The sequence below is a fragment of the Homo sapiens genome, chromosome 5, assembly GCF_000001405.40.
Source record: "Homo sapiens chromosome 5, GRCh38.p14 Primary Assembly".
In the NCBI taxonomy this organism is placed as follows: Eukaryota; Metazoa; Chordata; class Mammalia; order Primates; family Hominidae; genus Homo; species Homo sapiens.
Genome location: NC_000005.10, coordinates 102,436,031 through 102,458,058, shown reverse-complemented (window position 1 = coordinate 102,458,058; position 22,028 = coordinate 102,436,031). Strand labels below are relative to the sequence as shown.

Here is a 22,028-nt window from a genome sequence, read left to right as displayed (position 1 = left end):
TGTTCTTATTGTTCAATTCCCACCTATGAGTGAGAACGTGCAGTGTTTGGTTTTTTGTTCTTGCAATAGTTTGCTGAGAATGATGGTTTCCAGCTTCATCCATGTCCCTACAAAGGACATGGACTCATCATTTTTATGGCTGCATAGTATTCCATGGTGTATATATGCCACATTTTCTTAATACAGTCTATCATTGTTGGACATTTTGGTTGGTTCCAAGTCTTTGCTATTGTGAATAGTGCCACAGTAAACATACATGTGCATGTGTCTTTATAGCAGCATGATTTATAATCCTTTGGGTACATACCCAGTAATGGGATTGCTGGGTCAAATGGTATTTCTAGTTCTAGATCTCTGAGGAATCGCCACATTGACTTCCGCAATGGTTGAACTAGTTTACAGTCCCACCAGCAGTGTAAAAGTGTTCCTATTTCTCCACATCCTCTCCAGTACCTGTTGTTTCCTGACTTTTTAATGATCGCCATTCTAACTGGTGTGTGATGGTATCTAACTGTGGTTTTGATTTGCATTTCTCTGATGGCCAGTGATGATGAGCATTTTTTCATGTGTCTTTTGGCAGCATAAATATCTTTTTTTGAGAAGTGTCTGTTCATATCCTTTGCCCACTTTTTGATGGGGTTGTTTTTTTTTTCTTGTAAATTTGTTTGAGTTCATTGTAGATTCTGGATACTAGCCCTTTGTCAGATGAGTAGATTGCAAAAATATTCTCCCATTCTGTAGGTTGCCTGTTCACTCCAGTGGTAGTTTCTTTTGCTGTGGAGAAGCTCTTTAGTTTAATTAGATCCCATTTGTCAATTTTGGCTTTTGTTGCCATTGCTTTTCGTGCTTTAGACATGAAGTCCTTGCCCATGCCTATGTTCTGAATGGTATTGCCTAGGTTTTCTTCTAGGGTTTTTATGGTTTCAGGTCTAACATTTAAGTCTTTAATCCATCTTGAATTAATTTTTGTATAAGGTGTAAGGAAGGGATCCAGTTTCAGCTTTCTACACATGGCTAGCCAGTTTTCCCAGCACCATTTATTAAATAGGGAATCCTTTCCCCATTGCTTGTTTTTCTCAGGTTTGTCAAAGATCAGATGGTTGTAGATATGTGGCATTATTTCTGAGGGCTCTGTTCTGTTCCATTGGTCTATATCTCTGTTTTGGTACCAGTACCATGCTGTTTTGGTACTGTAGCCTTGTAGTATATTTTGAAGACAGGTAGCGTGATGCCTCCAGCTTTGTTCTTTTGGCTTAGGATTGTCTTGGCAATGAGGGCTCTTTTTTGGTTCCATATGAACTTTAAAGTAGTTTTTTCCAATTCTGTGAAGAAAGTCATTGGTAGCTTGATGGGAATGGCATTGAATCTATAAATTACCTTGGGCAGTATGGCCATTTTCACGATATTGATTCTTCCTACCCATGAGCATGGAATGTTCTTCCATTTGTTTGTATCCTCTTTTATTTCGTTGAGCAGTGGTTTGTAGTTCTCCTTGAAGAGGTTCTTCACAACCCTCGTAAGTTGGATTCCTAGGTATTTTATTCTCTCTGAAGCAATTGTGAATGGGAGTTCATTCATGGTTTGGCTGTTTGTCTGTTACTGGTGTATAAGAATGCTTGTGATTTTTGCACATTGATTTTGTATCCTGAGACTTTGCTGAAGTTGCTTATCAGCTTAAGGAGATTTTGGGCTGAGACAATGGGGTTTTCTAGATATACAATCATGTCATCTGCAAACAGGGACAATTTGACTTCCTCTTTTCCTGATTGAATACCCTTTATTTCATTCTCCTACCTGATTGCCCTGGCCAGAACTTCCAACACTATGTTGAATAGGAGTGGTGAGAGAGGGCATCCCTGTCTTGTGCCAGTTTTCAAAGGGACTGCTTCCAGTTTTTGCCCATTCAGTATGATATTGGCTGTGGTTTTGTTATAGATAGGTCTTATTATTTTGAGGTATATCCCATCAATACCTAATTTATTGACAGTTTTTAGCATGAAGGGTTATTGAATTTTGTCAAAGGCCTTTTCTGCATATATTGAGATAATCATATGGTTTTTGTCGTTGGTTCTCTTTATATGCTGGATTATGTTTATTGATTTGCATATGTTGTACCAGCCTTGCATCCCAGGGATGAAGCCCACTTGATCATGGTGGATAAGCTTTTTGATGTGCTAATGGATTCGGTTCACCAGTATTTTATTGAGGATTTTTGTATCAAGACTTTTGAAGTCTTTTAACTAACTTGTTCACTTTACAGATAATAAAAAATAGGGCTGGCTTTGCCAATAACTTGACTAGTGTCAGAGATTGGCACCAGGTATTTTCCTTCTGTTTCTTTTAGTTTTATATTATTTCGTGTTAATTTTTTCTCTGCAGAAGTAAATAAGGCATTTAATGGGATGACATGCATGTATCAATATTATCTTTTTTATTATGTTTAAGTAACTCAGAAGAGAACTCTAGAAGTTGAAAAATAGTCCCACAAGCATCATGTTTTGTGGAAAATATCTCAATATTAAATGAAGAAAATCTTTGTTTTTCTAAGTGAAACAAGGTCTACAATATAGACATTGTAGAGTTAAAAAACACCAACTTAAATAATGATTTGACTTTCCATTTGTTTTCTCTTCTGCTATTCATAACTTCATCCTTTCTGTTGTTTGCAAAATTGTATTTCTCATATACAGATTTTATCACGCCATTTCTCAGATTACTTGATAGATGAATTTCATACCCTTTAATAGGACTTTGAAGATCTTTCACAGTAGCATCAACTGAATTTTCCTATCCCATTTTCTTAGAATTTTATCCCTCTGTCCTCCACATTCCAGCCACTTGGTCTTTCCTGGACACATTAGGTAATTTTATAGTCCTGTATTTTGGTAGATGCTAATCTATCTATTTAAAATGTCATTGTCTCTCTTCTCTATTATAAAAAAACTCTTTGTCAAATCTCACCTTATATTCCCAGGCAAAATGAGTTTCTCCCTCCTTAATGTTTTCATAGATCTTTGTTATAACATAATTTATATATATATATATATATATTTATATATATTTTGTTATACTGGTTTAATCCTAAAACAAATGTGTATGTTGTATAAAATCAGAAATATGTTTACTTGTTTCTATTCTGTGTTTATCTTTTAATCAAATCATAAACCATCCCTCCTAATTGGTTACATTTAATTCAGATTTGTATTTAGTTTTAATTTTTATCAAAATATTACATGTACATATATTTTAACTATACAGAAGCCAATTAGTTATAATCTCTTTCATATTGCTAAAAATTAAGACACAATTATTAAAAACACTTCAGAAAATTTAAACATGAGTGTTTTAAGGTTTTTTTTGTTTGTTTTAAGTTTACTGCCAGAAAAGAAAAAAAAAAGCAAGCCAATTCCAATTCTTCTTACTTGGAAATGGAGGATTTTATTATTATTGTTAGACAGGATATAAAACCATATAATGCCTGGTAACAATCTTAGACTTCTGACTAACATCTATCTGAGTAGATAACTAGATGATATCTGATTTCTTTTTGAAGTTTATCAGAAGGTGGCACTTTTAGAATTGCAAAGAGAGAAACGTGGAAAATCCTGACCTCCAAAATGTGGTGGTAAAACTGGCAGAATTGTCAACAACTATTTTGAAACTCTGGAAATTAAGCAAAGGCATACAATAAATTGAAAGCATTTATTCAAGAATTATTGAGCATTGGTTAGAAGAGTAGGGTCTGTGGCATTTAAATTTGGGACTGCATCCATTGTCTTTTCTTTCCTCCCTACCCTCCATGTCTTGGTAACAGTGAAGGCTAACAGTCTTCCTGCCACTTGAGGTGGTTGATCTAGTTTTGAGCTCCATGGAAAAGTCCTGGGACATTGTAGTCAGCAATTACAATATTGGTGGCCAGTCTTTGGAAAAGGCCAGCATCGTAGCTACCAGAGGCAGCAATAGTTGTTAGGGGAAACAGTAAACCAGCCAAAAATGTAAAAGATATATCTGGCCAATGATATTAGGCTTTGAAAGCTTTAATATATTCATGGGGATCTGAAAGGGTTCACACACTCAGGAGAGGTCAGAGATGGCCCCAGTTATCTACTGGTTCCTGGCTGAGCACAAGTCCTTACATAAACAGAAAGTGAAAGTCAAAGTAGCTTGTAAACTGCCTGAAACTTGAATATGTGATCCAATCCATGTACAGATCCCCTCAGCAAAAAGTGGAAGCCCTACTGACTCAAGATATTTAAGTAAAACCCCTGCCCAATTATTGGGTGGCCATCAAGGTATGCTGACCCAGGGTGACTCCTGGGAAGCCAGGCTTAAAAATGAGGAAAATAATTAAAAATAGAACATAGGCTTCAGTGGCTGCATACTCCTAGGAAGATAGAATTTATTTAATTAGTCCTGAAAAGTAATAAACAAGAGACAGAAAACAGCAATAACGCAACTCCTGAGGGTGGGGAAGTCAGAATCCAGAAAAGCTACAACGTATTATTTAAAGTGTCCAATTTTCAACAAAACCTCATGAAAAATGCAAAGAAAGAAGAAAATGTGGCCCATATAAAGAAAAAGTCAGTACAAACTGTCTCTGAGGTGGCTCAGGTGTTGGATGTAGTAAACAAAGACTTCATGTAAACTATTATAAGAATGTTCAAAAGAATTTTTAAAATGTTTGCTTTTTTCCTTTCTTTCTTTCTTTTTTTTTTTTTTTTGAGGCAGGGTCTCACTCTGTCACCCAGGCTGAAACACAGCAGCATGATCATGGCTCACTGCAGCCTCAGTCTCCCTCAGCCCCCCTGAGTAGCTGGGACCGTAGGTGCACATCACCATACCCAGCTAATTTTTAAATTTTATGTAGAGAAATCTCACTATGTTGCCCAGGCTGGTCTTGAACTGGGCTTATGTGAGATATCTCTGATTTTAGATTAGGGGAAGAATTGCACAAAAAATTAGGGGGACTACATAACCAAAGTTTCCTTTTATCTTGATAAAAGAGTGGAAAACTGACTGGAAAATAATAAAACTAAAAAAGAGTATTTGGAGGAACTTAACTTGCTAAAGGCCAATTGTCTTTCTCTATTAATTCTATAGTTCTATCCCTCATGGTTCATGCCATTTGGTTTGGATCATTTTCTTGAAATCCAATGGCTGTTTAGAAACTCTTGACACAAGGACAACTAGAAAATCATTCCAACAAAGAAATCATATGTCACCATCATTATAAGACTTATTGATTGGGAGCTGGTTTAAATATACTTCTCCTGAGTGTCTAGGCATAGATTTTAAAAAATAGTCTTTTCTTGTAATGAATTTTTATAAAGTGAGACAAAAAACTAGCTATTTTTCGAATGGATTATCTACTCTTACCATGTTTCTTGCAGGTCATTATGTTTTTTAAAACATTTTTCCAAAAAGGAAAGGAAAGAGTTTATGAAAATGTCAGTAATTTTAATAGTTTTAAAGTAGACAAGATAGATGCAAGTAAAATAAAGTATAAAAGCTGAAACAAATACAAAATATTTAACATTTTTATGCAGTTATAATATCCACGAGGTTAAAAGTTATAAATGTAAAAGTAGTTGGAATTAGACTTTTAGAACAGAAGGTAGAACAGAGGATAAGAAAAAAGCTACCTCTCTATAGCTGTAAGAATAAAATGGATTAGAAATATTTAAAAAAAGAATAAAAACATAAAGTTTGGAGGTTAGGAAAGATCACAGAAAAGCAAAAAGCAAAAAAATAAATCCTGGATGGAATTTGGTAAGGAATAATATTTTATAGAGGAAAAGCTCCCTCTAAATGTGTGGAACAGAGAGCTCAACCCTCTTATCCTTTTTCTTCATCTCACGTGTAAGTTTCCTGCCTTATTACAGGGACTATATATTTGCATAATAGGACTCAGATGAATAAGGAAGTGTCAATGAATATTATGATATTAAACATATTGTGAACTGTAAAAGACAAAATGAATGTGAGCTATTATTGCTATATGACTGTTAATTGCTGACAAAATAAATCAAAGGAAGCTGCTGTCCAAATTATTTAGTCATCTTCCTATTGGTAGTTAAAACAATGAATTTCCTTTGAAAGCAAGTAAATGGCTATCATAGAAAGAAGAATCAATATAAATCCTATTTAAATAACATAATTTTCAAAACTATATTAGAGAGTGCCAAGATGTCTGACTAGAAGCAGCTAGTGTGTGCTGCTGTCATGGAGAGGAGACAGAGTGGCAAGTAAACACTAGCTTATCAACTGGCCTGTCCAGGAGGACACATTGGGATTCATCAAGGAAGCAACATGACCCATGGAGAAGAGGGAAGACTGAGACAGGACAGTTGCCCACCTGGGATTGGTATAGAACCATGGTAGGCTCCCCACGGAGGGGAAACAGCAAGTGAGTGAGAGCTCCCAAGGTCCCACACTTCTGCCACAGATCTTTGCAACCCTGGGCACAGGAGATTCCCCCAACCCACTCCATCCAGGGCCTCCAGAATGACATGAAGAGCTGCATGGAGCCTGTGCAGAGCTGCTGTTCAGGTACATGCCAAATCCCAGGGCAATGGACTCCTGAACACCCCTATGCTAGCAGCTGTGTTTCTGCCAATAAAGGAGGCCAGGTTCTCTCACATGCCCCCAGGATAGGGGCCATATCCACAGTGCTGATAAGCAAGATGGACTGAGGGCCTAGCCTCCACTACACCTTGCCAGACAAAGTTCACTGGCATGGGATGCTAGCACAGCCAACCCACCCCTGCCTGAGCTCTCAGGCTGGTAGCAGCTCTGTATATCCCTGGGATGGGGCTCCCAGAGGTAACGGACAGGCCTGCTATTTATGCCACTCTACTGCCCTCAGGCTCGATAGGGAGCAATGAGCTTAAGGACTATTGCAGGCCTCCTGCACAGTGTAGCTTCCTTATACAAAAGCGACCAGATTGTTTTCCACATGGAATCCTGCCCCTGTGACTCCTCACTGGGCAGGGCCTCTCCACTTGGGCACCCAGCACAGTCACCCTGCCCCAACCTGAACCCTTCAGTTGATGATGGCTCTGCATTTCTCTGGGAAGGAAATTCCAGAGACAACTCACAGCCCCTCTGCCCTTGCTGCTGTAGTGGTACCACGGTTACTATCCTTAGGCTGGCAAAGAGATAAAGGGTCTGAGTGCTGTACTCACACCTCCAGCATGCCATGGCTGCCCTGTGAAGAAAAGACCAGTCTTTCTTGCCTGTGAGCCCCCTGCTCACTACTAGGCAGGGCACCTCGGCTTGGGCCTGCAACACAGGTGCTTCACCCTGGGCTAATCATACCAATTGGTGTGCTTCTCTGGAGTGGAGCCCCAAGAGATTAGTGAAAGGCCCTCTGCCATTGCCACTGCCAAGATCCTTGCCCCTGGTGCCTCCAAGCCAGGGAGGGAAGAAAAGGCATCAGCTTGCCCCAGGGCTATGATGCGCAGCCCGGAAATGCCAAGCTGAGATCTGCAGCCAGTGCTAGTGGGAAAGGAGCCCACACTCTCAGAGCACTGAGAGAGCATGGCTGCAAATACAAGGAAATACAGAGGTGCTGCATGGCTGAGCAAGAGCCCACCTACTGGCCATGATGCTTAAGTGCCATCTACTGGATTGCAGCCCAAACTTCAACACTGAAAATACTTGGCTAATATATCCCGCTGTGAAACCAAGCACAGGAATTCTGTCACAAATAAAGATGCTGCACAAAGCCTTGGCCCTCTGAAAACATCCAGAAATGAAGTCAACTGACTCTAGTCAAATTACACCATGGTTAAAGGAACATAGCCCACACACATGAGTAAGAACCAGCACAAAAAGCCTGGCAACTCTAAAAGCCAGAATGTCTTTTTACTTCCAAACAACCTCACTAGCTCCCCAGCAATGCTTATTCACCAGGATGAAATGGTTGAAATGACAGAATTCAGAATCTGCATGGAAATGAAGATTTTAGATATTCAGAATAATGCTGAAACCCATCCCAAGGAATATAAGGAATCCAGTAAAATGATGAAAGTGATGAAAGCTTAAGTAGCCATTTTAAGAAAGAACCAAATCTAGATGATACAGCTGAAAAACGCACTACAAGAATTTCATGACATAATTGGGAGTATTATCGGTTGAGGAAAGAATCTCAGAGCTTGAAGACCAGTGGTTTGAATTAACTCAGACAAAAATAAAAAAGAATTTTACAAAATGGACAAAACCTCAAAGAAATATGAGATTATGTTAATAGACCAAGTCTATGACTCACTGGCATCCCTGAAAGACAGGGAGAAAGAGCAAGCAACTTGGAAAACATATTGGAGGATATTGTCCACAAAAATTTCCCCAATCTCACTAGAGAGGTCAATACAAAAATCAGGACGGTGGCTCACGCCTGTAATCCCAGCACTTTGGGGGGCCGAGGCGGGCGGATCACGAGGTCAGGAGATCAAGACCATCCTGGGTAACACGGTGAAACCCCATTTCTACTAAAAATACAAAAAATTAGCTGGGTGTGGTGGCGGGTGCCTGTAGTCTCAGCTACTTGGGAGGCTTAGGCAGGAGAATGGCATGAACCTGGGAGGCAGAGCTTGCAGTGAGCCGAGATTGTGCCACTGCACTCCAGCCTGGGCAACAGAGCGAGACTCTGTCTCAAAAAAAAAAAATCAGGAAATTCAAAGTACCCTTGTGAGATATTATACAAGATGACTATCCCCAAGAGACATAGTTATCAGATCTTCCAAGGTCAATGCAAAGTAAAAAACACTAAAGGCAGCTAGAGTGAAGGGAAAGGTCACCTACAAAGTCAACCCCATCAAGCTAACGGTAGACCTGTCAGCAGAAACTCTACAACCAGAAGAGATTGGGGGTCTATATTCTGGAATTTTAAAGAAAAGAAATTAGAACCAAGAATTTCATATCCAACCAAACTAAGCTTCATAATCCAAAGAGAAATAAAATACTTTTTAGACAAGCAAATGCTAAGGGAATTTGTTACCACCGAGCCTGCCTTATAAGAAGTTCCTAAGGGGATGCTAAACATGGAAATGAAACACCATTACTGACCACCACAAAAACACACTCAAGTACTATTGACACTATAAAGCAAATACACAATCAAGTCTACATAACAACCAGCTAACCACACAATGATAGGATCAAATCCACACATATGAATATTAACCTTGAACAGAAATGGGTTATAGCTCCCACTTAAAAGGCACAGACCGTCGAGTCGGATAATAAAGCAAGACCTAACTGTATGCTATCTTCAAGAGACCCATCTCGCATGCAAGGACACCCATAGGCTTAAAGTAAAAGGATGGAGAAATATCTATCAAGCAAGTGGAAAGCAATAAAGAGCAGGGATTGCTATTCTTATTTCAGACGAAACCAACTTTAAACCAACAATAATCAAAAAGGACAAAGGGGGGCATTATATAATGACAAAGGTTCAACTCAACAAGCAGAGCTAACTCCCCTAAATATATACGCAACCAACACTGGAATGCCCAGACTCATAAAACAAGTTCTTAGAGACTTATGAAGAGACTTAGATAACTACACAATAACAGTGGGAGACTTCAACACCCCACTGACAGTATTGGACAGATCACTGAGGCAGAATACTAACAGATATTTGGGACCTAAACTTGACACTTGACCAAATGTACCTAACAGTCATCTATGGAACACTCCATCTAACCAAAACAAAATATACATTCTTCTCATCTGCACATGGCACATCCTCTAAAATTGACCACGCAATCAGCCATAAAGCAATTCTTAACAAATTCAAATAAAATGAAATCATACCAACTGCACTCTCAAACAACAGTGCAATAAAAATAGAAATCGATATCAAGAAGATCTCTCAAAACCATACAATTACATGGAAATTAAATAGTCTGCTCCTGAGTGACTTTTGGGTAAACAATAAAATTAAGGCAGAAATCAAGAAATTCTTTGAAAGTAATGAAAACAAAGATACAACATACCAGAATCTCTGGAACACAGCTAAAGCATTGTTAAGAAGGAAGTTTATAGTGCTAAACACTCACATAAAAAAGTTACAAATGTCTCAAATTAACAATCTAACGTCACACCTAGGGAAACTAAAAACAAGAGCAAACCAACTCCAAAGGTAGCAGAAGAAAAGAAGGAAACAAAATCGGAGCTGAACTGAACAAAACGCAGATGAGAAAAACCATAAAAAGATCAATGAAATGAAACGTTTGTTCTTAGAAAGAATAAATAAGATTGATAGACCACTAGGTAGACAAATAAAGAAGAAAAGGGACAAGATACAAATAAACATAATCAGAAATGACAAAGGGGAAATTACCACTAACCTCACAGTTATACAAAAAACCCTCAGAGACTATTACAAGCACCACTATGCACGCAAACTAGAAAATCTGGAAGAAACGGATAAATTTCTGGAAGCATGCAACCTTCTAAGATTGAACCAGGAAGAAATTGAAACCCTGAACAGACAAGTATTGAGTTCCAAAATTGAATCAATTATAAGAAAAACGACCAACGAACCAGAAAAGACTCTGCATGAGACAGATTCACAGCCAAATTCTACTAGACACATAAAGAAGAGCTGATAACCAATCCTACTGAAACTATTCTAAAAAAATCAAGGGGGAGGTACTCCTCCTTAACATGTTCTATGAGGCCAACGTCATTCTGATACCAAAACCTGGCAGAGACACAAGTGAAATAAGAACGCTTCAGGCCAATATCCCTGATGAACATAAATGCAAACATTCTCAAAAAAATACTAGCAAACTGAATCCAGGTGCATGTCAAAAAACTAAACCACCACAATTGAGTAGGCTTTTATTTCTGGGATGCAAGGTTGGTTCAACATACACAAATCACTAAATGTGATTCACCACATAAACAGAACTAAAAACAAAAGCACATGATCATCTCGATAGATGCAGAAAATCCTTTTGATAAAATTCAATATCCTTTTTGGTTAAAAACTTTGAACAGGGCCGGGCGTGGTGGTTCACACCTGTAATCCCAGCACTCTGGGAGGCTGAGGTGGCAAATCACGAGGTCAGGAGCTTGAGACTGGTCTGGCCAACATGGTGAAACTCTGTCTCTACCAAAATACAAAAAATTAGCAGGGCATAGTGGTGGGTGCCTGTAATCCCAGCCACTTGGGAGGCTGAGGCAGAAGAATCACTTGAACCCAGGAGGCAGAGGTTGCGGTGAGCCGAGATCGCTCCACTGCACTCCAGCCTGGGCGACAGAGTGAGTCTCCATCTCAAAAACAAAAAACAAAAAACGTTTCAACAAACTAGGCATCGAAGGTACATACCTCAAAATAAGAGTCATCTATTACAAACCCATAACCAACATCATACTGAATGGGGAAAAGCTGGAAATATTCCCCTTTGAAAACTGGAACAAGACAAGGATGCCCTCTCTCACCACTCCTGTTCAACATAGTATTGGAAGTCCTGGCCAGAGCAAGAGAAAGAAAGCACATCCAAATAGGAAGAGAGGAAGTCAAACTTATTTTCTTTACAGACAATGTAATACTATACCTAGAAAGCCCCATAGTATCTTCCCAGTGGCTCCCAGATTTCATAAACAACTTCAGCAAAGTTTCAGGGTACAAAATCAATGTACAGAAATCAGTAGCATTTCTCTACACCAATAATGTCCAAGCTGAGAGCCAAATCAAGAATGCAATCCCATTCACGATAGCCACAAAAAGACTAAAATATAGGAATACAACTAACTAGGATGTTCAAAGATCCGTACAAGGAGAACTATAAAACACTGCTGAAAGAAATCAAAGACAACACAAACAAATGGAAAAATATTCCATACTCATGAATAGGAAGAATCAATATAGTTAAAATGGCCATTCTGCCCAAAGCTATTTACAGATTTAATACTATCCTAATGAACTACCAATGACATTTTTCACAGACTTAGTAAAAACCACCATTCTAGAATTCATTTGGAACATCATCAACAACAAAAACCCTCAAGAGCCAAAGCAATCCTAAGCAAAAAGAGCAAAGCTGGAGGATGCCACTACCCAACTTCAAAATGTACTACAAGGCTCCTAAAACAGCATGGTACTGGTACATAAACAGACACAGAGACCAATGGAACAGAATAGAGAACACAGAAATAAAGGTGCACACCTACAGCCATCTGATCTTCAACAAAGCCACCAAAAACAAGCAATAGGCAAATTACTCCCTATTCAATAAATGATGCTGGGATAACTGGCTAGCTATATGTGGAATTGAAACTGGACCCCTACCTTTCACCATATACAAAAATCAACTTAAGATGGATTAAATATTTAAAAGTAAAATCTAAAGTATAAAAACCATAGAAGACAATCTAGGAAATACCATTCTGGATGTTGGCCCAGGCAAAGACACGATGGAGACTCTGAAAACAATCATGACAAAAACAAAAATTGACAAGTGGGACTTAATTAAACTAAAGCGTTCTGCACAGCAAAAGAAACTATCAACAGAGTACACAGACAACCTACAGAATAGGAGAAAATATTTGCAAACTATACGTCTGACAAAGGTCGATAAATAACTCAAACAAATCAGCAAGCAAAACAACCCCAAACAACCCCACTATAAAATGGGCAAAGGACATAAACAGACACTTTTTCAAGAGTGTCTTTTCAAAAGAAAACATACATGTGGCCAAAAAACATATGAAAAATGCTCAGTGTCACTCATTATTAGGGAAATTCAAATCAAAACCACAATAAGATGTTATTGCACACCAGCAAAAATGGCTATTTTAAAAAGTGGAAAAATAACAGATGCTGGTGTGGTTGCAGAGAAAAGGAACTCTTAAACACCGCTGGAGGGAATGTAAATCACTTCAGCCATTGTGGAAAGCAGTGTGGCAATTCCTCAAAGAAGTTAAAACAGAACTACCATTTGACCCAGCAATCCATTACTGGATATAAACCCAAAGGAATATAAATTGTTCTATCATAAAGACACATGCATGCATATGTTCATAACAGTACTATTCACAATAGCAAATACATGGAATCCACCTAGATGCTCATTAGTGGTGAAATGGATAAAGAAAATGTAGTATATATACACCATGGAATACTATGCTGCTATACAAAAATGAAATTTTAGTTTTCACTGGAACATGGAAGTAGCTGGAGGCCATTATTCTGATTATCTGGGTGACAAAATTTTCTGAAACCACACCCCCTTATGACATGCAATTTACCCATGTAACAAACCTAAAATGAAAGTTGAAAACAAAATGAAAGAAAACAAAATTATAGTTCTCACTTGTATTTAGGTCAGAACATTTTGTAGTAGTTTTAGTCTCTGAATCATCTCCTAGGTGTGACTCTAAATAAACTGTTTTTTCTGAAAATAAAAGAGGTGAAATGCCAGCAGAGCTAGCAAAAAAAAATTTAAATTTGCAATTAGCAGCATTTTCTAGAGGAGATATTTTATTCTGATGGACAGATTGATGAGCCATTACTTATTTTCTATGGCTAATTATGGCTATTTAGCATAAAGAATCAAGAACAGATCAAATAAGAAGTTAAATCACAAAGTAAAACAGAGTGATTTATTGGTCTCCTCTTTAACTTATGTTTTCATCCTTTTTGTCTCTAGGGAAAGGTCTTTTACTGGCAGAATCAGTGTCTTCTGCCATGCAAACTTGATTAGGGTAGGGAGTAAATCAATGCTTGAAAGATAAAATTCTAGAAATTAGTTGGGACACTATATGTCCCACCTTCAATAAGCCCTGGTTGAGATTTTACAAACCCTTTCCTCCTTGCAACATTCCTCTGCCTTTATTTCCTCCTCATCATTTGTTTTTGACTTCTATTAGAGGACTATCCTTAGCTTAAAACTACTTTTCTGCAGCCTTTATACCTTATACTTTATATATTTGCAGATCCTACTCTTATTTCAGACTCTTACTAAGTAAGCACATGTAGGAGTACCTAGCCTAACTGGAAAGCAATCCTAGACCAGAATGAACCCCTTCTCGTGTGGAAAAAACCTTGGTTGTAGATAAATTCTGTGATTAACAAGGGCTACCTAATAGCCACAGTACTGCGAGATAGGGATGGTTGAATAGCACTGTCTGCTACTGTATAGCACTATTCTGATTTCTCCCTTTTTATGTCAACATCTGTCAGAATTGAGCCTGAGTTCACTGCATAAAACTCTTTGTATATTTATTTGTATATCTATCTGGCTTTCACCTTTCCCTGTCATATTTATTTTTAAGAAAAGAAATAGACTTTTTAAAATGCAGAAAATCCTGGGTATTTTATTGGAAGGAAATCTATGGCATTCTTAATATTTGCTATTCTCACAGTCCCTTTCAGAATACAGTGCCCAGAAATATTTCCTTGTGCATTGGTTACCATGCTCTGTATAATGTAATCCAAATGTTTTAGCCAAAACTGTTACAGTTTTTGGCATCAGCACTTGAGCTTAATAAAGCAATTTTTAGATTACCCCTAAACCTGGGAAATGTCCTAATTTGAGAACAATGTCCAGTAAGGACACCTTGTTGAAGAGTGACTAACTAATCTAGTCAGTTCCTCTTTTGGGGGAAAGTATGAATAAGAGGAAGAGTGGGAAACTCAAACAACACAACTTTGATATACTGACATAGCAAAAATAAAAGTACAAAGGGCCATTGAGAAAGAGAAGTAAATATGAAGAAAATAGTCACTAGCTAAAATAGACCTAGATGAATACACAATAAGGAGACAGAAGTAAGTTGAATATCTGGGTCTTTGAAGTAATTAAGACTTACTCTGAATGATGTCTCACTTCTTTTTTTCCGTCTTTTTTTGAGATGGAGTCTCGCTCTGTCTCCAGGCTTGGAGTGCAGTGGTGCCATCTCAGCTCATTGCAAGCTCCGCCTTCCAGGTTCACGCCATTCTCCTGCCTCAGCCTCCCGAGTAGCTGGGACAACAGGTGCCTGCCACTACGCCCGGCTAATTTTTTGTGTTTTTAGTAGAGATAGGGTTTCACCATGTTAGCCAGAATGGTCTTGATCTCCTGACCTTGTGATCCACCCGCCTTGACCTCTCAAAGTGTTGGGATTACAGGCGTGAGCCACTGCACCCAGCCTAATTTTTGTATTTTTAGTAGAGACGGGGTTTCACCATGTTGGCCAGGCTGGTCTCGAACTCCTGACCTCATGAGCCGCCCACCTCGGCCTCCCAAAGTGCTGGGAATACAGGCATGAGCCACTGCGCGCAACCCGTTGTCTCATTTCTTTATGAATGCTGAATTGTTTAGCTACTGAGAAAGTGTATTCGTTTTCTTACTTTTATGTTTAACCTTATGATAAATTGCATCAGTGGAATTAACAGCGTCTGTTCCTTTTAATCTGAAAGAGCTTAAACACATTCCAGATTCAGAAATCTGGAATAGGAGCTGCGATCTGTGTTTTATACCATGTAGATAATTCAAGGCACGCTAAAGTTTGCAAACAACAAATCTCGTAATCCCGTGCAATCCTTTAATTTTATAAATTAAGAAATTAATGTTTATTTTTACTGGACACTTGTTATGTGCCAGAAGTTGTATTAAACCATTACATGTATTCAATTATCATAACCACTCAAAAAAATAGACATTATTGTTTCTCGTTTACAGATAGTGAACCAGTAATTTAAAAAGAATGAGTAATTTTTCCAAAACAACATAGGTTATGCACACACATACACACACAAACACACATATCCATTACTTGTGGCTTAATTGAGGCTAAGAGCATAAGAATAAGTGTTGTATTTGACTCTAAATCCAGAAATCTGCCTAGTGTAATATAATACTTCCTAAAAACGAGATATGGAGAAACTGTGATTTGCTTATTGATGCTCCAAAAATCAGTTCCAGGGCCAAGATTAAAAACTAGATTTGTTTCTTATTCTGCCTGTTGCAGCTAGTACAGACCAATATTTTTATATAAAATCATAGGATATAGCTATAACTCTCTTTAGGGTAAATGTGCTTAATATTCAGTTCTCAATAATTATTTTAAAATAAATGAATAAATAACATTTGTGAGCTAGAAGAACGTATGAAAAAAGCTGTAATTCTCTAGTTAATCAATATTTGAATCTACTACATAAAATAAGTAAATAAAAAATAAAGGTAAAATAAAAAAACTATAGAATAAATAAAAAGAATAATCTACATTTAAAATTAGCTAATAAAGTAAAAGTAAAGTAAAAAGTAATCACAAAACTGTAATTCAGAAATTTATTTAACAGAGATGCTAAAAAAACTTCATGAAAAAATTAAAACTTTATGCAACATTATTAAAGATGACTGGGATAAATTGATAGCTAAACCATGTTAATGTTTGAAATGACAATATTCATGTATGTTAGTTTTTTCTTAAATAATCTATGAATCCAATGCAAGTATAATCAATACTATGGCAAAAATTTTATTTTTTTAGAAAATGAGAAACTGATTATACAATTTGTATGGCAGAATAAGGGAATGGATACCTAAAACAAAGAGCACTGGACCTATTTCCCATTAAGACTCACTAGAAAAACCACTGTAGTAAAAACAGTGTAGCATTTCCTTGATATAGATTAATAGATCAATGTAAGAGAACTGAGAATTCAGCAACAGACTAAATGTTACACATAAGAACTTGCTATGTAATAAAAGAGTCACTGAAAAGATAATTGTTCAGTAGATGTGATAGCCAATTGGGCTATTTGTGAAAAATGACCATGGATTTCTACCTCCTATTATGTATAAAAGTGATTTCCAGGTTAATAAAATGTGATTAGATAAAACACAGTTAATGTAAAAATGAAAGAAATACCTCTGTGGTATAGAGGTGGGAAAATGTTAAACAAGATTGCAATAATATTAAATATGAATTCGAACTTTATGGATTAGATATATCAAGTCAAGGATTTCTGTTCTATGAAAGAAACTGTAGACCACAATAATAGATGGGTGACAGATATCTAAATCCAAGTGATTAATGTTTAGAATACACAAGCAATTTTTAGAAAATCTACCCCCAAATTTCAGGAAGCCTAACAGAGATAGAAAGAGCCAGTTCATACACACAAAAAGAATCCCAATAGCTAAGAACTGTGTAAAGAAAGTTTCAATTAGATTTGAAATTAGAGAAATAGGAAACAAAGCATTGTGGTACTACTTTATACTTGTTACCAATGCAACATTTTGAAAGCCAGCTAATAATACCAAGTGTTTGTGATTATGTTATCTACTTCTGCATAATAAACTACCCCATAACTTAGTGGATTAAAACAATATAAAATATATTTTGCTTATGAGAATGCAATTTGGACAGGGCTTGTCCCTCTCAACTATACTTGGGGTCAACTAGAGCAGCAGTCCCCAACATTTTGACACCAGGGACCAGTTTTGTGGAAGAAATTTTTTCTGGGATGGAGGCGCTGGTTTTAGGATGATTCAAGCTCATGGCATTTATTGTGCACTTTATTTCTATTATTATTACACACTCACCATAAAGTAGAATCAGTGGGAGCCCTAAGCTTGTTTTCCTGCCACTAGACCATCCCATCTAGGGGTGATGGGAGATAGTGACAGATAAACAGGTATTAGATTCTCATGGGGATCGCACAACCTAAATCCCTCACATGTGCAGTTCACAATAGGGTTTGTGCTCCTATGATAATTTAATGCCGCTGCTGATCTAACAGGATGCAGAGCGCGCCTGCCACTCACCTCCTGCTGCACGGCTTGTTTCCTAACAGGCAATGGACTGGCCTCTTACTCTTTCTATAGAGGCTGGGGATCCCTGAGCTAGAGTGATCAAAGTCTGGAGAATGGAACCATCTGAAGGCTTGTTTGCTCTATAGTTTTTTGATACTGTCTGTTTGCTAGAATACCCATACATATCCTCTGCATCTCTCTTGGGCTTTTTTACAACATGGTGACTGAGTCCCAAGGCAAAAGTTCTGAGACTGTGAAAGATCCCAGCAAAAGTCATATTTTCATTTTACGACCCAACCTCAGAAGTCATGTAGCATTATTTGTTTCATTGTGACAATTAGAAAGCCTTTCCAAGTTTAATGACCTTTTTATGTGGAAATGACATAGTTCTGGATGGGCATGCTAAACCATAAATATTTCTTTGATAACTTTTAGAAAGTACAAGCTAAATGAAGAAAATGAAACACTACCATCATTGTGGTGGTATAGTCATTTTAGTGTAACCTGATACATTCTGGAGAACAATCTGGAGAAATGGTGGAATAAAGTATGCTAAATCCTTATGCCCTAGGAATTCCTTTCTAGGATATATGCTTCTAGAGACACTCTATCACTGGACCTTAAAGTACATGCACAGGGGTGTTTAATGTAGTGTAGTTTGTGATGGTAGAGAGTTGAAGGCAAGACAAGTATTTAATATTATGGGAATGAATAAATATGGCAGAATCACACTATGTAAAATCAGATAGCACTGAGAATTTGAACTAGTTGAGTTTGCAGACTATGATCATACCTAACAGGGATGTTTAGGGCCAGAAAAAGAAAATTTAAATAAATTAGAAATATGTAAACATAAAATAGCACTAAATATATTTTCAGTGAGATACGCATAACCAAGGAAATACAGAAACTAATTTGAAAGTTAATATTTTACTATCTTTTTAATTACTCTGTGTAGTATATTAGATAATAATAAACCATCACATCTTAGCCTTCTAAATAAGTTCCACAAGTTTACCAAAATGCAAAATTTAAATAACTTAATTATTTGTATAGGTAGATTTCCAGGAGTAAAATATAAAACATTTTCTGCAGTCCTACTGGTTTTTCTTGAGTATTGCTTAAATTTTCTTTGTTTGTGTTTTAGTTGAATAAAAAAGACTTGCTTAAAAAAATAAGTAGAGAAGCAAAAGTAAGGAGAAATTCTAGATATATGGTTAATAATTTACCTATTTTTCTCTAATCTTTACAAAAAAATTCCAAGCCCATAAATAAAAATTAAAGTAGTATGAAGAGCAAATCAAAATTTAAATGGTCAAAAACAAACTTTCTTTTATAGAATTTGTATATTGGTGAATCATAGATTGCTGTTTGGATCTGTCTGATCTATCTATCTATCTATCTATCATCTATCTATCAATTATCTTTTCAGTTTAGATTGGGAATGGTAAATTTTTGTAGACAGATCATTAGCATTTGGTTCTGTCTATTCCTCTTTATCTAACAAAATAAAATAATAGATATATAACTTATTTTTATTTCAGATTCTGATGAAGAATCCAGTGCTCATATGCCTAGCTCTGTCAAAAGCTACAGAATATTTAGTTATTATTGGAGCTTCTGAATTTTTGCCTATATATTTAGAAAATCAGTTTATATTAACACCCACTGTGGCAACTACACTTGCAGGTAGATTTACCTTCTTATTGTCATTTCAAAAATTTTGCACTGTCTTATTGTATGTACTTATGAAATACTTGAAATAAATAAAAATATAAAGAATTATATACCTAGATATGATTTGTGCAGATTTTACAAATATGAGCACTTTGCCATCATAGTGTCAATATTTTTAACATATAAATCCTTGTAAAAACTTCCGTGTTCCTCCTTTATCCCATTTATCTTCATTCCTTTTCACAGGTAATCACTCTTCTGAAGTCAGAGTGAATCATTCCCATGCATGTTTGTACATCTTTACTGCTTATGTGCTTGTCTATATACACCTATTTCTAAAATTTATGTATCACTTTATATATACTCTTCTGCAGCTTATTTTTTCATCAGAAATTATGTTCTTTAGATTTGTGTTGATCTATATCTATTTAATGCATTTCAGTTTGCTATTTTATTTTATGATCCTATTTTATGAGTATACTATTGTTTATGTATTATCCAATTAATGGATATGTTGTTGCCTCCCACTTTTTCTCTCTTCCAACCAGCGTAGTAATGAAAAGGTTTGTTGATATCTCCTTCTGTACATTTGTAAAAGTTGATGTAAGTTTAGACATTGAAGGGAAATTGCTATTGTGTACATTTACAATTTTATGAGATATTGAGAATTGGCTCTCCAAAAGAGGTTGCAAATGGAATTAAATGTTTTAAAGTTTTAGCATTAATAGGAAAGTTGTAAATGCAATGATTTATTTTAGGGTGTAAAAGGTCAAGGATGCATCCAGTAACTTTGAGGATAACCAATAAAGTAGTAGTAGTAAGAGACTATATTAATAGGAAACATTTAATTAATTAAAAAAAGAAAGGAATGACAGAAAACAAAAAGCATGTGGGCAAAATAGAAAGCAAATAAGATGTGCAGAAATCCTGAGTATAAATCTAAACCTTTTATGGAGTACATTTTTTATAAAAGGCTTGTCTGACTGCAAATTATCCAAAAAGCCAAAATAGATCAGCTTTCAATGGCCATAATGACAAATTTTTTCATGAGCACACCAGGTTTGGGGCACTCTGATTAATCAAATCAGCAGAATGTGAGGAGTAAATTCATTCCATTTGTTTCTTATTATATTTAATTAAGGCTATTATCAATGGATTCCAAGAACCAGGGTAAGGCTACATGCAGTATTGACTCCCTCAAGCTCCTGGATCTAGCCAGCTGAACAAATCCTTAAGCCATCAAGGTCTATCTTAAAAAATCAGGTGGCTTTCTCCTTAAGTTTCTCTACTGACCTTTCCACTTAGCCTGAGATATCAAAGTATAACAGAATACATTAGCAATTGCAAATTCTACCTTGGCAAGAATGAAATTTGGGGTAATTTTATCATCTGTAATAATGTTGATCAGTAAGTGAGGCTGAGCAGAGTGCTTTCCAGGAATGAGGTGGTGTCATTGATTATTTCAAGTCAAGTCACAGACAAATTTTGCCCTATAGTTTCTAATTGTATTACTCTCATCATAAAGATGGCTTCAGTAAGGCTGTGTATGAATAGCATACCACTAATCTTGCCAGGAAGCTCCCTTGAGTAACTGAGTGTAACTTCATTTTAGAGAAATTTCTAATCTTCTAAGAGCTATGTGATCTGCTGGTGGTGATATAAACACTTGATGATCTTTTATGACCACCCCTATGTTCTTGAATCTATCATTTCCATTTGACAAGTAAGGCTTGTCAAATAGTTATGAGGCTGGTTTAGTTCATCCCAAAATGAGAATATAAGTTCACAAAGTCAAAAGATTGCTGTAAGTTAGGACTTTGGTTTTGACAAGATGGCAGTGTAAGCTAGTAGTTGCTTTTCAAATGGTAGCTGTTTTAGGGAGTCAGTGAGTGTTATACAACAGCAGGTGTTTCTGAATGGAGCCTATATCTTTTATCTAGAGGCTGCAGTCCATGAAATTATCAGTCATGGAGATTTGTAGCTCATGGGGATCATTAAATTTCTAGCAGCTCAAAGAAGAGAGTATGCCACAGCTTGCTTATCAGCTTCAATGTAGGTTTGCGAATTACACTCCCTGTAAGTTAGCTGTTATAAAAGAATGCCCAAGACAGACATCTACCATCTCTGATACCCAGAGTCCAAAGTGACATTAGGTTCCCTTTTGGTTGGAGGGAAATGAGACATTTTTTTGCTTGACTTCCAGAGTAATTGAGCATTGTGAATCCATTTGCATAGTCCCCCAGAAACTTGATGTGCAGTCTTTGGGTTTTGTTGGGATTTATCAGTTACCCTTGCAGGTGAAGGTGTGATAATACCAAAGTTAGAGCCATTGAGTCTAAGGCTTGAGAGTCTCTAGCCAACTGCATATCATCTATCAGTGAAAGGTTTAGGCATCAGAAGGTAATGGGAATCACACTAAATTCTTATGCACCTTCTTGTAGCCAATGGCAGAGCTTTAGGTACTCCTGAGGAATAACTAAAGAATATTACAGTATTCTTACTGTAAAGGTATATTTGTGGTTTTTAAGCATGAATGAGAATTAGTCTTTGTCCTTGGGTGCCAATGGGATAGAAAAGAATGTCTTGGCAAAGTCTAAT

The 22,028-nt window shown here is 36.7% G+C and overlaps 1 protein-coding gene across 10 annotated transcripts in view, besides 1 other annotated feature; it reads left to right on the top strand.

Moving 5' to 3' along the window:
• SLCO6A1 (solute carrier organic anion transporter family member 6A1) overlaps positions 1 to 22,028 on the top strand; it is a 127,228-nt gene that overhangs the window by 40,943 nt on the left and 64,257 nt on the right. For 8 of the 10 annotated variants that reach the window (XM_011543148.3, XM_011543147.3, XM_047416703.1 and 5 more), the window contains one exon: positions 19,298 to 19,442. The exons of the other annotated variants lie outside the window; for them this stretch is intronic. In XM_011543148.3, coding sequence (XP_011541450.1) covers positions 19,298 to 19,442 — 145 coding nt within the window. The remainder of the gene's footprint in view (positions 1 to 19,297; positions 19,443 to 22,028) is intronic. 10 annotated transcript variants of the gene reach the window in all.
• Positions 4,036 to 4,095: an enhancer, noted in NCBI's record as "active region_22854". NCBI's record gives its function as "activates an Ori minimal core promoter by ATAC-STARR-seq in GM12878 lymphoblastoid cells {active_cell/tissue: GM12878}" and the evidence as "EXISTENCE:reporter gene assay evidence [ECO:0000049][PMID:35858748]".